The sequence below is a fragment of the Homo sapiens genome, chromosome 3, assembly GCF_000001405.40.
Source record: "Homo sapiens chromosome 3, GRCh38.p14 Primary Assembly".
Classification (NCBI taxonomy): domain Eukaryota; kingdom Metazoa; phylum Chordata; class Mammalia; order Primates; family Hominidae; genus Homo; species Homo sapiens.
Window position 1 is genome coordinate 141,941,757 of NC_000003.12, and position 15,080 is coordinate 141,956,836.

Here is a 15,080-nt window from a genome sequence, read left to right on the forward strand (position 1 = left end):
CTGGTCAGCGGTGTATTCAGTCGCTGTGCCATCCCCCATGTGGCTACAAGAACAAAAGCACCTTCTTAAGCCCAAGAGATACAGTGGTTACTCCCATGAGTCCTTGGACACCTTCACCAAACGGCACTAGTAAGTGGCTCCTCTAGGCCGGGAGGAACGGAGAAGGCACAATACCAGCTTGGCTCACTACTCCAGGAGACCCCTGGGGTAAGGGGCTTGAGCACAGGCTCACCACTTCCCCACCACCGCCACCCTTATTTGGTCTGTGAAACTCCAGGGGGAGTCTTTATGGGAAGATGCATTCCTTCCAATATGTCATCGAGTGCTTACTTAGCCATCTCCTTTTCAAGACCTGGGTCTACTTGCTGGCCCCTGAACTGCTCCACACCCTTCTGTGCCTTCTGATTGTCCACGTGCTCAACTTGTTGGAACATAGGAGATAAGCTATCTAGGGTTCCGGCCTCTCCCTGAGACAGGTAGAGACTGCGTGATCAGGTGCTGAGGGGCTGCTATGTTCCGGAGGTCAGGTGACATTCCACCTGAGGCCTGGGGACATGGCATTCTATATTGACTGCTGTCGCTGTTCTCGCTGATGCTGGTTTGGTGTAAGAGATGATAAGAAAGCATCTTCCCTACGAATTGCAGGGAAGCAATTCTGGGCCTAGCCTCCCAAAGTGCTAAGATTACAGGGGTAAGCCACGGCACCTGGCCACCCTTCTTCTTTTTTTTTTTTTTCAGACAGAGTCTTGCTCTGTCACCCAGGCTGGAGTGCAGTGGCACTATCTCGGCTAGCTGCAAGCTCCGCCTCCTGGGTTCATGCCATTCTCCTGCCTCAGCCTCCCGAGTAGCTGGGACCACAGGAGCCCGCCACCATGCCCGGCTAATTTTTTTTTTTTTTTTTTGAGACGGAGTCTCGCTCTGTCACCCAGGCTGGAGTGCAGTGGGGCAATCTCCACCTCCCAGGTTCACACCATTCTCCTGCCTCAGCCTCCCAAGTAGCTGGGACTACAGGCGCCCGTCACCACACCTGGCTAATTTTTTTGTATTTTTAGTAGAGACGGGGTTTCACCGTGTTAGCCAGGATGGTCTTGATCTCCTGACCTCGTGATCCGCCCGCCTCGGCCTCCCAAAGTGCTGGGATTACAGGCGTGAGCCACTGCGCCTGGCCTATTTTTTGTATTTTTAGTGGAAACAGGGTTTCACCATGTTAGCCAGGATGGTCTCGATCTCCTGACCTTGTGATCCGCCCACCTCGGCCTCCCAGTGTTGGGATTACAGGTGTGAGCCACCGCGCCCGGCCCTGGCCACCCTTCTGAGGGCAATTCATGAAGAGGAACTCAGATGTTGAAAGAGGGTCTCAGTCCTTACTCTCTGGCAGAGCCCCAGAGTACCCACTACCCTCACCCGAACAGCCCACCATTATTTTATTGTTCATTTTTCTTTTTTTTTGAGATGGAGTTTCGCTCTTGTTGCCCAGGCTGGAGTGCGATGGCGCGATCTTGGCTCACTGTAGCCTCTGCCTCCTGAGTTCAAGCAATTCTCCTGCCTCAGCCTCCCGAGTAGCTGGGATTACAGGCGACCGCCACCACACCTGGCTAATTTTTTGTATTTTTAGTAGAGACTGGGTTTCACCATGTTGGCCAAGCTGGGCTCGAACTCCGGGCCTCAAGTGATCCGACCACCTCAGCCTCCCAAAGTGCTGGGATTATAGGTATGAGCCATTGCACCCGGCCTATTGTTCTTTTTTATTTTAATCCCAGCAGTTTGGGAGGCTGAGGTGGGAGGATCACTTGATGCTAGGAGTTGGAGACCATCCTGGTCAACATGGTGAAACACCATCTCTATTAAAAATACAAAAATAGGCCGGGCGCGGTGCTGCACGCTTGTAATCCCAGCACTTTGGGAGGCCGAGGCGGGTGGATCACGAGGTCAGGAGATCGAGACCACGGTGAAACCCCGTCTCTACTAAAAATAAAAAAAAATTAGCCGGGCGTGGTGGCGGGCGCCTGTAGTCCCAGCTACTCGGAGAGGCTGAGGCAGGAGAATGGCGTGAACCCGGGAGGCGGAGCTTGCAGTGAGCCGAGACTGCGCCACTGCACTCCAGCCTGGGTGACAGAGCGAGACTCCGTCTCAAAAAAAAAAAAAAAAAATACAAAAATAAGCCGGGTGTGGTGGCACGTGCCTGTAATCCCAGGTACTCCAGAGGCTGAGGCAGGAGAATCCCTTGAATCTGGGAGGTGGGGGTTGCAGTGAGCCAAGATTGCACCACTGCACTCTAGCCTGGGCAACAGAGACTCCATCTCACAAACAAAAACAAAAAAAAGGCTTTTTTTTTTTTTTTTGAGATGGAGTCTCACTCTGTTGCCCAGGCTGGACTGCAGTGGTGTGATCTCAGCTCACTGCAACTTCCGCCTCCCAGGTTCAAGCGATTCTCCTGCGCCAAGTTGCTGGGATTACAGGCGCATGCCACCACACCCAGCTCATTTTTGTAGTTTTAGTGGTGACGGGATCTCACCATGTTGGCCAGGCTAGTCTTGAACTCCTGACCTCAAATGATACGACCACCTTGGCCTCCCAAAGTGCTGGGGTTATAGGCGTGAGCCACTGCGCATGGCCTAACACCTCCTTTTTTAACTAAAAATATCCTGACCCACTAGTAATGAGACTAACATTATTTTAAAGTGTTTATTTTTTTCTATAATACATTTCATTCAAATCATAAAAGTCTGATACATTTTTTTCTCAAGAACAACTTACACTCATTTGAGATGCTTTTTCTTTCCTTTAATCTTATAGGATGGACAAAGATACACTTTAATGGACAAAAAACACCAGAGTTCATTACAAATACAGCTTCCCAGGCCCCACCTCCAGCACTTCTGACTGAGCGTCTGGGACGCATCCTAGGATCGCAAAACTGTAAAATTCCCCCAGTCAACTCCACGGCAGGCAGGCCTGGAACCACCCTTAGTGGAACACTGCTTAGGACTTGTCTGTTATCTACCAGAAGCAATTTCAGAAAATCAGGAGTAATTACGTATACAGAAATAGCTCTTCTATAAAATTTCCATATAAAAATAATGGCATTTATTTACAAAGTCTGAGATACTACAAAATAATATATCATATTAGGTTGTGTACTTCAATCTAATAAAGGAAAGTCTACATTGGGCAAGTCAGATGTGGTGGTTGCATTTTCCTCTTATCTCTCTTGTTTAAATTGCTTAAAGCATGTGGCACCACGATGTATCCTTCATGCAGAAAAAAGGAGAACTATATTTTCTGGAAATAAAACCCAATAGCACATAGTCAGAGTAAAGCATTTTCAGATGAAAAGGTGAACAACCTAGTGGTTTGGGCTCATGGCCCTTTACCCACCTTTTTTTTTTGAGATGGAATTTCGCTCTTGTTGCCCAGGCTGGAGTGCAAATGGCACGATCTCAGCTCATTGCAACTTTTGCCTCCTGGGTTCAAGAGATTCTCCTGCCTCAGCCTCCCGAGTAGCTGGGATTACAGGCATGCGCCACCACACCCGGCTAATTTTATATTTTTAGTAGAGACAGGGTTTCTCCATGTTGGTCAGGCTGGTTTCGAACTCCCGACCTCAGGTGATCCGCCCGCCTCGGCCTCCCAAAGTGCTGGGATCACAGGCGTGAGCCACTGTGCCTGGCATACCCACCTCTTTTGTCCAAAACTCAAGAGTGATGGTGGTGAACCAAGTGCGTGAAGGAACTCAGTACTGAAACGTGATCCCCGGAGTGCAGCCACCTGGGCAGCCAGTGCATATGGTTAGTGGGTGGTTCCATTTTTCAGGACACTGAGAGGTTGAACCTGCCATGGAACTACTGGGAAAACTAGAACTGCAACAAGCCCAGAGGAGCTATTCAGGAGAAAAGTAGCCCCATTGTCAGTGACGTTTTAGTATGAAAATCCTGGCCCCAGTGTGAACAAGCACAATCGCCAGGCCATGTGACATGAAGCTCGGCCATGGTGAAGTATGGTAAGTGACAAATGGCATGCATTGAAGCACGACAAGGGATGAGTTTTTAAATCCAAACGTGATCTGGGGAATTTTCCGTTATGATTCGACAGACATGGGCAGCACCAGCTGGTGTGGTGTGGAAGGACCAGTTGGTCACTGAACTTCTTGGGCCCCTGCCAATGGCCAGCATGGGGAGCCCTTGTCTGTGGAGGTCTCAGCCCGGGGTTTTCTGACTTGAGAGAGGCCTAAACCTGACACCACAGCCTCATGCTGGGGCTCGGGAAAGGAGTCCCACTTCTACCCCTCAGCTGTTTGGCACTTGGTGACACAGGACTGATGCTAATCCAAAACCCATCTGGGAGGACTGTGGTGACAGCGTGGCCCTCACGGAGGGAAGAAGCTCTGGGTTTTGGTGCAGGCTCTGCCACAGACAGGCTGAGGGATGGGAGGCAAGTCAAGCTCTTGCTTGTTTCCCATCTCTAAATGAGCAGGGTGGGAGCGATGTTATCCCCGATCCTGAGACCTGCGGCGAAGGGGCGAGGCCTGACCCTGAGCATCAGCTACGTTGGCCTCCAATGCAGCTATAAGCAGTGAAGACCAAAGTCTAACCTGCTGAAACAGCAAGGGGCAAGACAGCATTGACTTCAACAGGCCTTTTTTGTAAAGCAAAAGGTAAGATGACAAGATCCGGTCTTGTCTGAGAACAGCTGCACAGAATACACATTATAAATGAGCACTTTCTCCTATCTCAGCACCCTGGTGAATGGGTGTCAGAGAAGTTTCTGGACCTGTCAGGGACTCCCAGGGCTTAGCCAGAGGGTCAAAGTGTTGTGCCCACTCACTTTTTCTTCTTTAGCATACTGTGGAGTGAGACATGTGGGAAAATCGGATCCCAGAGATTACCTAAGCATCACTTCTCAGAGACGTTTTGGTTAAGGGACTACTTCCTGAGAAACGTTATAATTTATGTGGGTATTGAGCTTGAATTTTTTTTAATCATAAAATCTTAGGCTGGGCGTGGTGGCTCAAGCCTGTAATCCCAGCACTTTGGGAGGCCGAGGCAGGCAGATCACATGGTTAGAAGTTCAAGACCAGTGTGGTCAACATGGTGAAACCCTGTCTCTACTAAAAATACAAAAATTAGCCAGGCGTGGTGGCACATGTCTGTAATCCCAACTACTTGGGAGGCTGAGGCAGAAGAATCGCTTGAACCCGGGAGGCAGAGGTTGCAGTGGCTGAGATCATGCCACTGCACTCCAGCCTGGGCAACAGAGCAAGACTCCATCTCGAGGGGAAAAAAAATATTATGCAAACATCAGGTTTTTCTCTTCTTAGTAACCATGTTTGGCTTGAGTGGAAATTTAATCAAACACTGTTATCAACTGGGAATTTGAGGGCAGGGAGGCACATTGCTGAGGGTCATTCAAATGGCATGGTGCAGGCTCCTGATACATAGTGTGGGTCTTTGGGAAATGCATATTAGTTTTCATCAGTGCTTGGGGACCATTGCTTTGGGTGCATGAATATGGGAACCCATTTGGGAAAACGGTTCTTAGAAGTCCAGTCATCAGCTTCACCAAAGCCAGCCCATATGCAGAATACAGATGATCTCTTTGATGTAGCCAACAACTTAGAAACACGTAAAATAGTTCTCAATTTCTAATCATTTTTCTTTCTTTCTTTTTTCTTTTTTTGAGACAGAGTCCTGCTCTGTCACCTGGGCTGGAGTGCAGTGGCGGGATCTTGGCTCACTGCAACCTCCGCCTCCTGGGTTCAAGTGATTCTCCTGCCTCAGCCTCCCGAGTAGCTGGGACTACAGGCATGTGCCACCACGCCCGGCTAATTTTTGTATTTTCTAATGATTTTTCTACTGCATAGATTCAGTTGGAAAGTAGTGAATCTTTGTGACAATCTTCTCTTGGTTTACAGAAATTGCTGGTAGCTAACTTTGCTTTGAAGTCTTAAAAGTTCCCAAACAGACTCCAAAATGAAGGCTTGAAACTGGAACAGTGGGGCCTCTGGAACTTAGGAGAGATTCCAAGTGCATGTTATGGGACAGAGTGGCTTGTTAAGAAAGTATAGAGACATCTGTCTTTCCACCATCTGACTCAGTAAAACTGTCTCTTTCCCAGAGGGGCCTTTCCCAGCCACCCCCAGCCAAAGTAGCCTTTCCCAAACGGTCCCGCTACGCTGCTGCTTTCTCCACAGCACTCATCAATCAATCTGCACGTGTTCCATCTGTGATCAAGTTTCCCCAATAGGAGGAGAACCCAACATCGGCAGGGCTCTCGCTGCTCCGCCCCAATGCCTGCTCACAGTAGGTACTCAAATGCTTACTGAATGAAGGATGAAATCTTAAGATTCACTGTCCAACCCCCACCCCTTACTTACCACTAAGGCAGCACAGTTTTAAGGTCTATTTCAGACTTGTTGGGCAGGGACAGCCCATTTTGTTAGGGGAGGGAGCTTGATAGATATTAAAGGGCCCTTGAAAGGAAATAATTTTTAAAAAGCTAAATAGAGCCGGGTGCGGTGGCTCACACCTGTAATCCCAGCACTTCGGGAGGCTGAGGTGGGCAGATCACCTGAGGTCAGGAGTTCGACACCAGCCTGGGCAACACGGTGAAACCCTGACTCTACTAAAAATACAAAAAATTAGTCGGGTGTGGCGGCATGCGCCTATAATCCCAGCTACTTGGGAGGCTGAGGCAGGAGAATCGCTTGAACCCGGGAGGCAGAGGTTGCAGTGAGCCGGGATTGCGCCACTACACTCCAGCCTGGCGACAGAGCAAGACTCCGTCTCAAAAAAAAAAAAAAGCTAAATAGGCTCCCCACCGTGCCCCCCTCTCTCAGTGTGGTTATGGCAGGAATAGCTGAGGTAGTTCTCATTCTCTGCTAATCCACACTCCCTCCAACATACACACTGTGTGCTGGAGGGAGCCTAAGTCACATTTATACTTGGAGCAACTCTGCTGTCTCTATGACCCAAGTAGCCAAAAAGAGTTGTGGTTTAGCAAACAGTCAAGTTATAGATGTCTTGCAGGGCTAAACTGAACCACTCCTCTGTGAAATATTTCCATTTGAGGCCGGGTGCGGTGGCTCACGCCTGTAATCCCAGCACTTTGGGAGGCCGAGAGGGGTGGATCATAAGGTCAGGAGATCGAGACCATCCTGGCTAACACGGTGAAACCCCGTCTCTACTAAAAATACAAAAAAAATTAGCCAGGCATGGTCCCAGCTGAGGCAGGAGAATGGCGTGAACCCGGGAGGCGGAGCTTGCAGTGAGCCGAGATCACCACTGCACTCCAGCCTGGGCAACAGAGCGAGACTCAGTCTCAAAAAAAAAAAAAAAAAAAAAAAAAATTTCCATTTGAATTCTGATAGGAGCTACCTTGTTTTCAAGGACTGACTCTGGCATTATTTTTCAAATATGGCAGAGTACTGTTAACAACTGTAAAATTTGCTAATGGAAGGAGTTATCCTCTTTATCCTGCTAAAATGGTAGAAACCACATAGCTTTTTCTTCCCAGCACTTCTTTAAAGAATTAAATTGAAGGACGCCAAACTTGTGGCCATTGTCTGTAGTTTCTCGGGCGGTGGGTGTCGCTGAGGGGTGGAGGACCGCCATGTTGGTCGCTCCTTTCCCGCCCTCCTCCAAGGCCCACCTTGATCATAAGGCACAAGGTATACAAACACCACAACTGCTCTCACCACAGGAAATAAGCACGTGGAGGACACAGACTGACAGCGGGGAAGAGGAAGGCAGCCTAGTAGGCACCTGGGGCCCGTAAGCGCTGCTGTGTGCCTAGGCAGCACCGCCCTACCCACTGAGGGCCAGGCACGCAGGTCCTAGTGCCACTGTGCGTGTGCTAAGTAGAGCCAGCACTTCCTCCATGAATGACGCCACACGCCTGAAAGGGGGACAGCCACACCCTCAAGGGGAAAAGGCCTCTTGAACTCCCCACAATCAGTGTGTGCCAGCAGCCCTGGGAGGAGTGATCTGTGTGTGGCAAGTAACCCAGCGTGCCACTATAACAAAGAAGCCTGGGCATTGTGACCACAACTTCCATTTTTTTTTTTTTTTTTTTTGAGACAGGGTCTTGCTCTGTCACCCAGGCTGGAGTGCAGTGGTGTGATCTTGGCTCTACAACCTCCGCCTCCTGCGCTCAAGCAATCCTCCCACCTCAGCCTCTTGAGTAGCCAGGACTACAGGCATGCCCCACCACACCCAGCTAATTTTTGTATTTTTGTAGAGACAGGGTTTTGTCATGTTGCCCAGGCTGGTCTTGAACTCCTGAGCTCAAGCAATGTGCCCGCCTCGGCCTCCCAAAGTGCTACGATTACAGGCGAGAGGCACTGCACCCAGCCCATGGTTTCCTAACACTGCCTCACTTTGATCTTGTGTGAAATTGTGACTCAGTGCTGAGCTTTAGACCCAGATAAATGTTGAGGGGGAATACAGAAGAGAATTGACCTTTCTGAACAGCTCAACCTAGTTTCTAAAGGCAAGATTTTACTCCAGCGACATGTACTGGTGACCATGATGTCACTCTGTGAGCTGGCCTCACCAGTAACCCAAACACAACGCTGAGGAAGGAGACCATTTCCCACCAACAGCACACACCTATGGCTGGGGTGGCCAATGATGGGGCACCAATAAGGATAAGAGTCTTTGGCGGCTTTCTTTTTTTGAGCCCATATTTTATCAATTTAAAGCATGAGAGCAGCAGAGATGGAGAGTAGAGAAAAAAACAGGTTTCCCAAGAACTCTGGCAAGAATGTTGCTACTTGGTGAAGGAATGGTTATCATTAGTGCACCTGTCTTAAATCCTGAAATGCATCTTGGGACCTGCAGTTCAATATTTTGAAGACTACAAAGGTAGCAGTGGCTGTTGGCCTCTCCAGGTCCCTGCTGGGTCCCAGAGATGAGAAAGGGTGGAGTTAGTAAAAGAGGAGGCTGCCCCTTAAAGGACAGTTTGGTTTGGAGGGAAATCCCAATCCGTGCAGCTGAAAGATTCCCTGCAGGCCCCTGGGGACCTGCTGTCACCTCCCCAGTGTTCCTGACTGGTCTGAGAGGTGTGCTCCAGAACCCACGATAAGACCGAGTTCTCTAGAAACTGCCTCTATCTCTGAGTCTGTACTATGGCTTATTTCTGACAGAATGAAACTTTTGTATCAAAGGAGCTTCAGCTAAAGTTGAATGTTTTTCTTTCTCAGTTTTTATGGCCTTATTAAACATGTTTAGCTAGCCAAAGCTTCCTCCTCCTCACCATGCTCAGTGTTAGCATGGTGGTGAGGCTATAAAGAGGCACCACAGGAAGGAGCCTGCACTTCCCCCATGGGATTTAAAAAAGAACCAATTTGGGCCATGCTTGGTGCATCTAGCATAATCTTGGGACAAATCCACATGATTCAGGTCAAAGTTTTGGAGTTAATTCTCCCATTATTATTTGCTCCTTTCCAAAGCCTTAATGTGAAATTCAGTCAGGGTCTGGCCATGGTGGCAGGTGTCCCTACACTCTTTCATTCAGAGAAGGAGCAGCTGTGAATACACCACTGCAGTATTTCTAATGACATCTTGAGCCATAAACAACATAACTGCACTACCATATATCCAGGCAGTAGGAGTGTTCAACGTTTTCTAGTGTTTCTGTGAAACACTAAATATTGGATTAGTTTGAAATGCAATTGACCCCAGGAGTAGGCTCAATAAGGTCATTCTGATTAATGAAAATGTGAAAAAAGGTGACATGTACAAGGAAACACTGCTGTTCATATTCTTGAAATAGACTTTTCTTTAAGACAAAAGTAATGACATTTGGTTCATTTTCACAAATTGCACACTGGGTGAGATCATACAATTACTGCAGGGAACTGTAGGCAAGCAATTTGGTCATAGGAATTTGTTTCTTTGTCTTGTTTTAAATGAAAAAGCTATATGAAATGCATAGCTTTGATTAACCTAAAGATACAGTTTCCTTCTTTGTAAAACTCCAGATTTAGGATGCTGGCAAAGGCAGTGCTGGCAAAGTATTTAATGCACATGGAAATGCTATTCTATTTTGGCTTCCAGAAGTAGCCCTAGTAAATTCTATGCACCAATGCATTGGCTAATAATAATTTCAGTTTTACTATAAATTATCTAAATGTCACTTAAGTACTTAAGAAGTAGCGCTCGCTCCTTTCTAGAAGCTGTCTAAGGCAGCTGATGCGTAAAGCACCTCATCTAGACCTCCAACTAGTTCAGCAGTTCAATCTGTGCCCCTCAGCCACAGGACTGCCCTCAGTATCCCTCACTACACAGCTCCCCTCTCCTGGGGACTTTTCATGTTCATTTCTGCCTTGTCAAAGGCAGTCCAGGCAAGGAAGAGAAACGTCAGAAACACGATCGTCAAGGACTGCTCCGTGTAGCAATCTCAATTCTAAGAATAATTACATGGGTGTGAGGAACACAAAAATCCCACCTCACAGAAGATAAATGAGTTGCACTCACACTGCCAACTCTTCAGGGATTATCCCCACTATCTCCTCAGAAAGCATGCTTTCTTTGTTATATCATCTACTGCTCTGTTGGCCAGACTTTCATTCACACTATGTTAACTTTCATCTCAATCATCTCAGCCTTCATGTGATTTGCTTATTGTGTTTCTCTAGTTTTCACTGAACACACAGTGCAAACAAAGGCAAAGACTGAAGCAATCATTTCAAAAACAAGAGCTCACACTACAAACACACATGAGCATCACATATTGAAACGTAGGCTTTCTCTTGTCTTTATTCTGGGGAGGAGGAATCCTCCTCATCATCTTCCTCATCTTCATCATTGAACGAACAGGGGGTCTCGCCTCGGGACTCGGAGCAGTGAGAGGCCGCACTGCTGGACTGGTGACTGTTTGGGGCCAGGAACTGCCCAGTTGCTAAGGCCACTTCTGCATCCAAGCATAACCCTTGGTTTACACTAGCAAACAATTAAAAACACACAGGCTCATTAATGTGGTATAAACAGTTTTGTAAAACATAGGAATAAAAACAGGAAGGAGGTGCCATTGGTGAGATCTGCCACAAACCTGCTCAGCAGGACCTGTGCTGGCAGTAACATGACCCCGGCTCACCCCTACACAGACAGTCAGGGCTCTGGGGTTTGCCTTTCTAACCCTGAAAAAAATACGTACCTTGACTGGGGTAAGGTGGCACCAGTGGTCAGGTCTAAATTTGAAACTGATTGGGTAGAGTTCAGAAGTAGTCCCTGATTTAACCAAGAAGGTCCTGTGGAGATATCTAAAGGAAAAAATGAGAACAAAAAATGTCGGTCCTGCAAGTTCTGTGGCTGCTGTTGTTACAGTCTGAGGAAAGCACAGAAAAGCAAGAGCTAAGCTTATTCTTCATGACAGCTAGACAATTCTCTTGCTGTGACAAGAACCCAGGTTTCTTCATCTTCTTGGAAGAAAAAAAAATTTCTAGAACATAAGAGCAGGAAAAAAAAAATACGGGAAGGCAGCTTACGGAGAGAAGGTATTCAAATGAAAACACTCAAAGGCACTTTCTTACTCTTTTTCTTAGATAAGCCCTCCAGAGCACAGCCCATGGGATACATCCCAGTGTACCACCCTCAATGCCTTCTGCCCTCAGCACAAAAGACCTGGACTGTGGTGTTGAGAGCCAAAGCCAGAAGTGGGAAAAGAGAAAATCAAATCAGAAATACATGAGGTAAGAAGGCCACCCTGCTTAGAGGGCAGACAGACATGTTTTGGCCAAAACCCCCGCCGCAATGTCTTTTCAGGTGCCTGCTGCTGGTGAACTCAATGCTGCTACTCATCAAATATCTATTCTTTTTCCTGACAAGATTTTTCCTGGTGTCTGTTGCTTTCTAATTCAAACTAGCTCTTATTTTATTTTTTTTATTATTATTATACTTTAAGTTTTAGGGTACATGTGCACAATGTGCAGGTTAGTTACATATGTATACATGTGCCATGCTGGTGTGCTGCACCGATTAACTCGTCATTTAGCATTAGGTATATCTCCTAATGCTATCCCTCCCCCCTCCCCCCACCCCACAACTAGCTCTTATTTTAAAAAGGTCACATGCAGTCATGTTTTTAATGAGGCAGACACAGACGTTACTGTTTTAGTCTACAGAAAATAGTTTGGGCTGAGCACGGTGGCTCACGCCTATAATCCCAGCATTTTGGGAGGCCAAGGAGGGCGGATCACCTGAAGTTGGGAGTTCTGTCCAACATGGAGAAACCCCATCTCTATTAAAAATACAAAATTAGCTGGGCGTTGTGGTGCATGCCTGTAATCCTAGCTACTCGGGAGGCTGAGGCAGGAGAATCACTTGAACCCGGGAGGCGGAGGTTGCAGTGAGCTGAGATTGCACCACTGCACTCCAGCCTGGGCAACAAGAGCGAAACTCCATCTCAAAAAATAAAAGAAAAAAAGAAAAGAAAATATTTTGGATATCTCCTTGCCATCTTCTTTTCTATACATATACCACATTTATCCTATGACAACACTGATCAATTCTTATTGTAATTTTACTGGTTTAATACTTTTTATCTTCCCATCTACAGTGTTAGCTCAAAGAAGGCAGTAACTGGAACATGTAAGATCTAAATGTGGCGGGGCGCGGTGGCTCATGCCTGTAATCCCAGCACTTTGGGAGGCCAAGGCGGGCAGATTGAGCTCAGGAGTTCGAGACCAGCCTGGCAAATATAGCAAAGCCCCATCTCTATTAAAAATACAAAAATTAGCCAGGCATGGTGATACATGCCTGTAATCCCAGCTACTAGAGAGACTGAGGCAGGAGAATCACTTGAACCCAGGAGGCGGAGGTTGCAGTGAGCTGAGATCGTGCCACTGCACTCCAGCCTGAGTGACTGTCTCAAAAAAAACAAAAAAAAACAAAAAAACAAAAAAGTTACTGAATGAATGAGTATAGTCTCTGTCAGCTGCCACTTTACAAAATAAGTGGTAGATACATTAAAAGTAATTCCTAAAAAGAAATTCTATAAGCCCAAACACATACTCAGAAAATGTAATCTGCCAAAATGAGCTATGATTTAATTGAATCAAAATCTTTTTGCAATTACTATACAAAAAAATGAAACTATATGATTTAGATTGGAAACTCTGGTATCCAAACAAGAGGCCATTCCCACGTAGGAAAAAAGTAAACTAAATGACTATGCTAATTTTAGAACCGTCTTATGAACCTTTTTCTTTGAGACAGCTGGGAAAAAAAAGAGACTTCAAGTCTAAGAAGAATAGCAGACTTTAAATACATTAAATAACGACAAGTCTGTACAAGAAAATAAAATTAAAGCCAGAATCTTGTGCTGAATATTAATTAGTATATAGAACTATAGAAACCTTCTGTCAGAACACAGCTATTTACTTGTTTGTGAGCATAACACATTACATTCTCTTTTTACAATGAATTGGAAAAGCCTACATTTCTTTCCTATTATCACAGGATCCACACAATGGTTCTCACACTCCCACCCAGGCCATTCTGCCCCTTTACACACGAGAGGCACATGTTTCTTCCTTTGAACTAACCAGAAAGTCTGTATCCCAGTCTGCAAATGAGGTCACGAAGAGATCAAAACCACAGAGCCTGCCTAATCGCCCTGAGCCTTTTCACTGGGAGTAAGCTAAAATAAAGTTCTGGTGATTTATTGAGTAAGCCCTTTATTCAGATTCTGCTGGCCTTCCAATGACACAGCAGGACCCAGGCTGGAGAGCGTGGAGAGAGGAAAGCTGGGTGGGGAGACGGAACAGGTGGGCTGAGGGGCAAGGAGAGGCGGGGGGCCCTTGCAGGGGATGAATGGTGCCAACCGAAGAACTAAAACAGAAACCAAATCTCAGCCAACAAACTCTTCTGTTGTGAGCAAAGGACCAAATCATAGAATAAAACAAAATTAAAGCTACCTTTTTGCTTACATTGGATTTAATGTATCTTAGACCTAGTATTAAAATGCCTTTAAAAAGCGATGTGAAATTCTAGATGGTTATACTTACAAATAAAATAAACAAAAGAAAGCAAAGGCAAAAACACTGCTTATATATTCATTTCTTTTTTTAAAAGACAGAGTCTCGCTCTGTTGCCCAGGCTGGAGTGCAGTGGTGCAATCTCCGTTCACTGCAACCTCTGCCTCCCAGGTTCAAGTGATTTTCCTGCCCCAGCCTCTCAAATAACTGGAATTACAGGCATGTGTCACCATGCCTGGCTAATTTTTGTATTTTTAGTAGAGATGGGGTTTTGCCATGTTGGTCAGCCTGGTCTTGAACTCCTAACCTCAAGTGATATGCCTGCCTCAGCCTCCCAAAGTGCTGGGATCACAGGCGTAAGCCACCGCACCCAACCTATATAGTCAAATTGTATCTACAAAATATGTAATATTTTCAGGAATTAGGAAAATCAGGAAGATTTCTAAATTAGTGAAAAAAATCTTAATTATAGGACATGTAAAACATAGTGCTTCTGTTTTCAAGTATACTCAGTATAACTTTACAACTCTATAAAAAGACAAGTAACTCTACTTAAAAATGAGCAAAGGATGGACTGTGGGAGGCCGAAGCGGGTGGATCACCTGAGGTCAGGAGTTCGAGACCAGCCTGGCCAACGTGGTGAAACCCTGTCTCTACTAAAAATACAAAAATTAGCTGGGCGTGGTGGTGGGCGCCTGTAATTCCAGCTACTTGGGAGGCTGAGACAGGAGAATCGCCTGAACCCGGGAGGTGGAGCTTGCAGTGAGCTGAGACTGCACCATTGCACTCCAGCCTGGGTAACAGAGAGAGACTCCATCTCAAAAAAAAAGTCAATGTGAATAGACATATTTCTGAGGAAGACATACAAATAGTCAATAAACACATGAAAAGATGCTCAACATCAGAAGTCATTATGGAAATGCAAATCAAAATCACAGTGGGAGCCAAGGCAGGTGGATCGCTTGAGCTCAGAACTTTGAGACTAGCCTGGACAACATGGCAAAACCCCATCTCTACCAAACATATCAAAAAAAAAAAAAAGATTTAACCGGGCATGGTGGCACACATCTGTGGTCCCAGCTACTCAGGAGGCTGAGGTGGGTGG

At 46.4% G+C, this 15,080-nt stretch overlaps 1 protein-coding gene across 27 annotated transcripts in view; it reads right to left on the reverse strand.

Annotated features, from left to right (window-relative positions):
* Nucleotides 1–2,671: 2,671 nt before the first annotated feature.
* The window catches only part of TFDP2 (transcription factor Dp-2), a 205,117-nt gene continuing 192,708 nt past the window's right edge, over nucleotides 2,672–15,080 (reverse strand). For 24 of the 27 annotated variants that reach the window (NM_001375780.1, NM_001178139.2, NM_001375773.1 and 21 more), the window contains 2 exons: nucleotides 11,155–11,260; nucleotides 2,672–10,940 (listed from right to left, as the gene is read on the reverse strand). In NM_001375780.1, the coding sequence (NP_001362709.1) occupies nucleotides 10,757–10,940; nucleotides 11,155–11,260 (290 nt within the window). In that variant the 3' untranslated portion in view covers nucleotides 2,672–10,756. The remainder of the gene's footprint in view (nucleotides 10,941–11,154; nucleotides 11,261–15,080) is intronic. The other 3 variants (XM_017007100.3, XM_011513107.3, XM_047448783.1) reach the window with 1 other exon arrangement.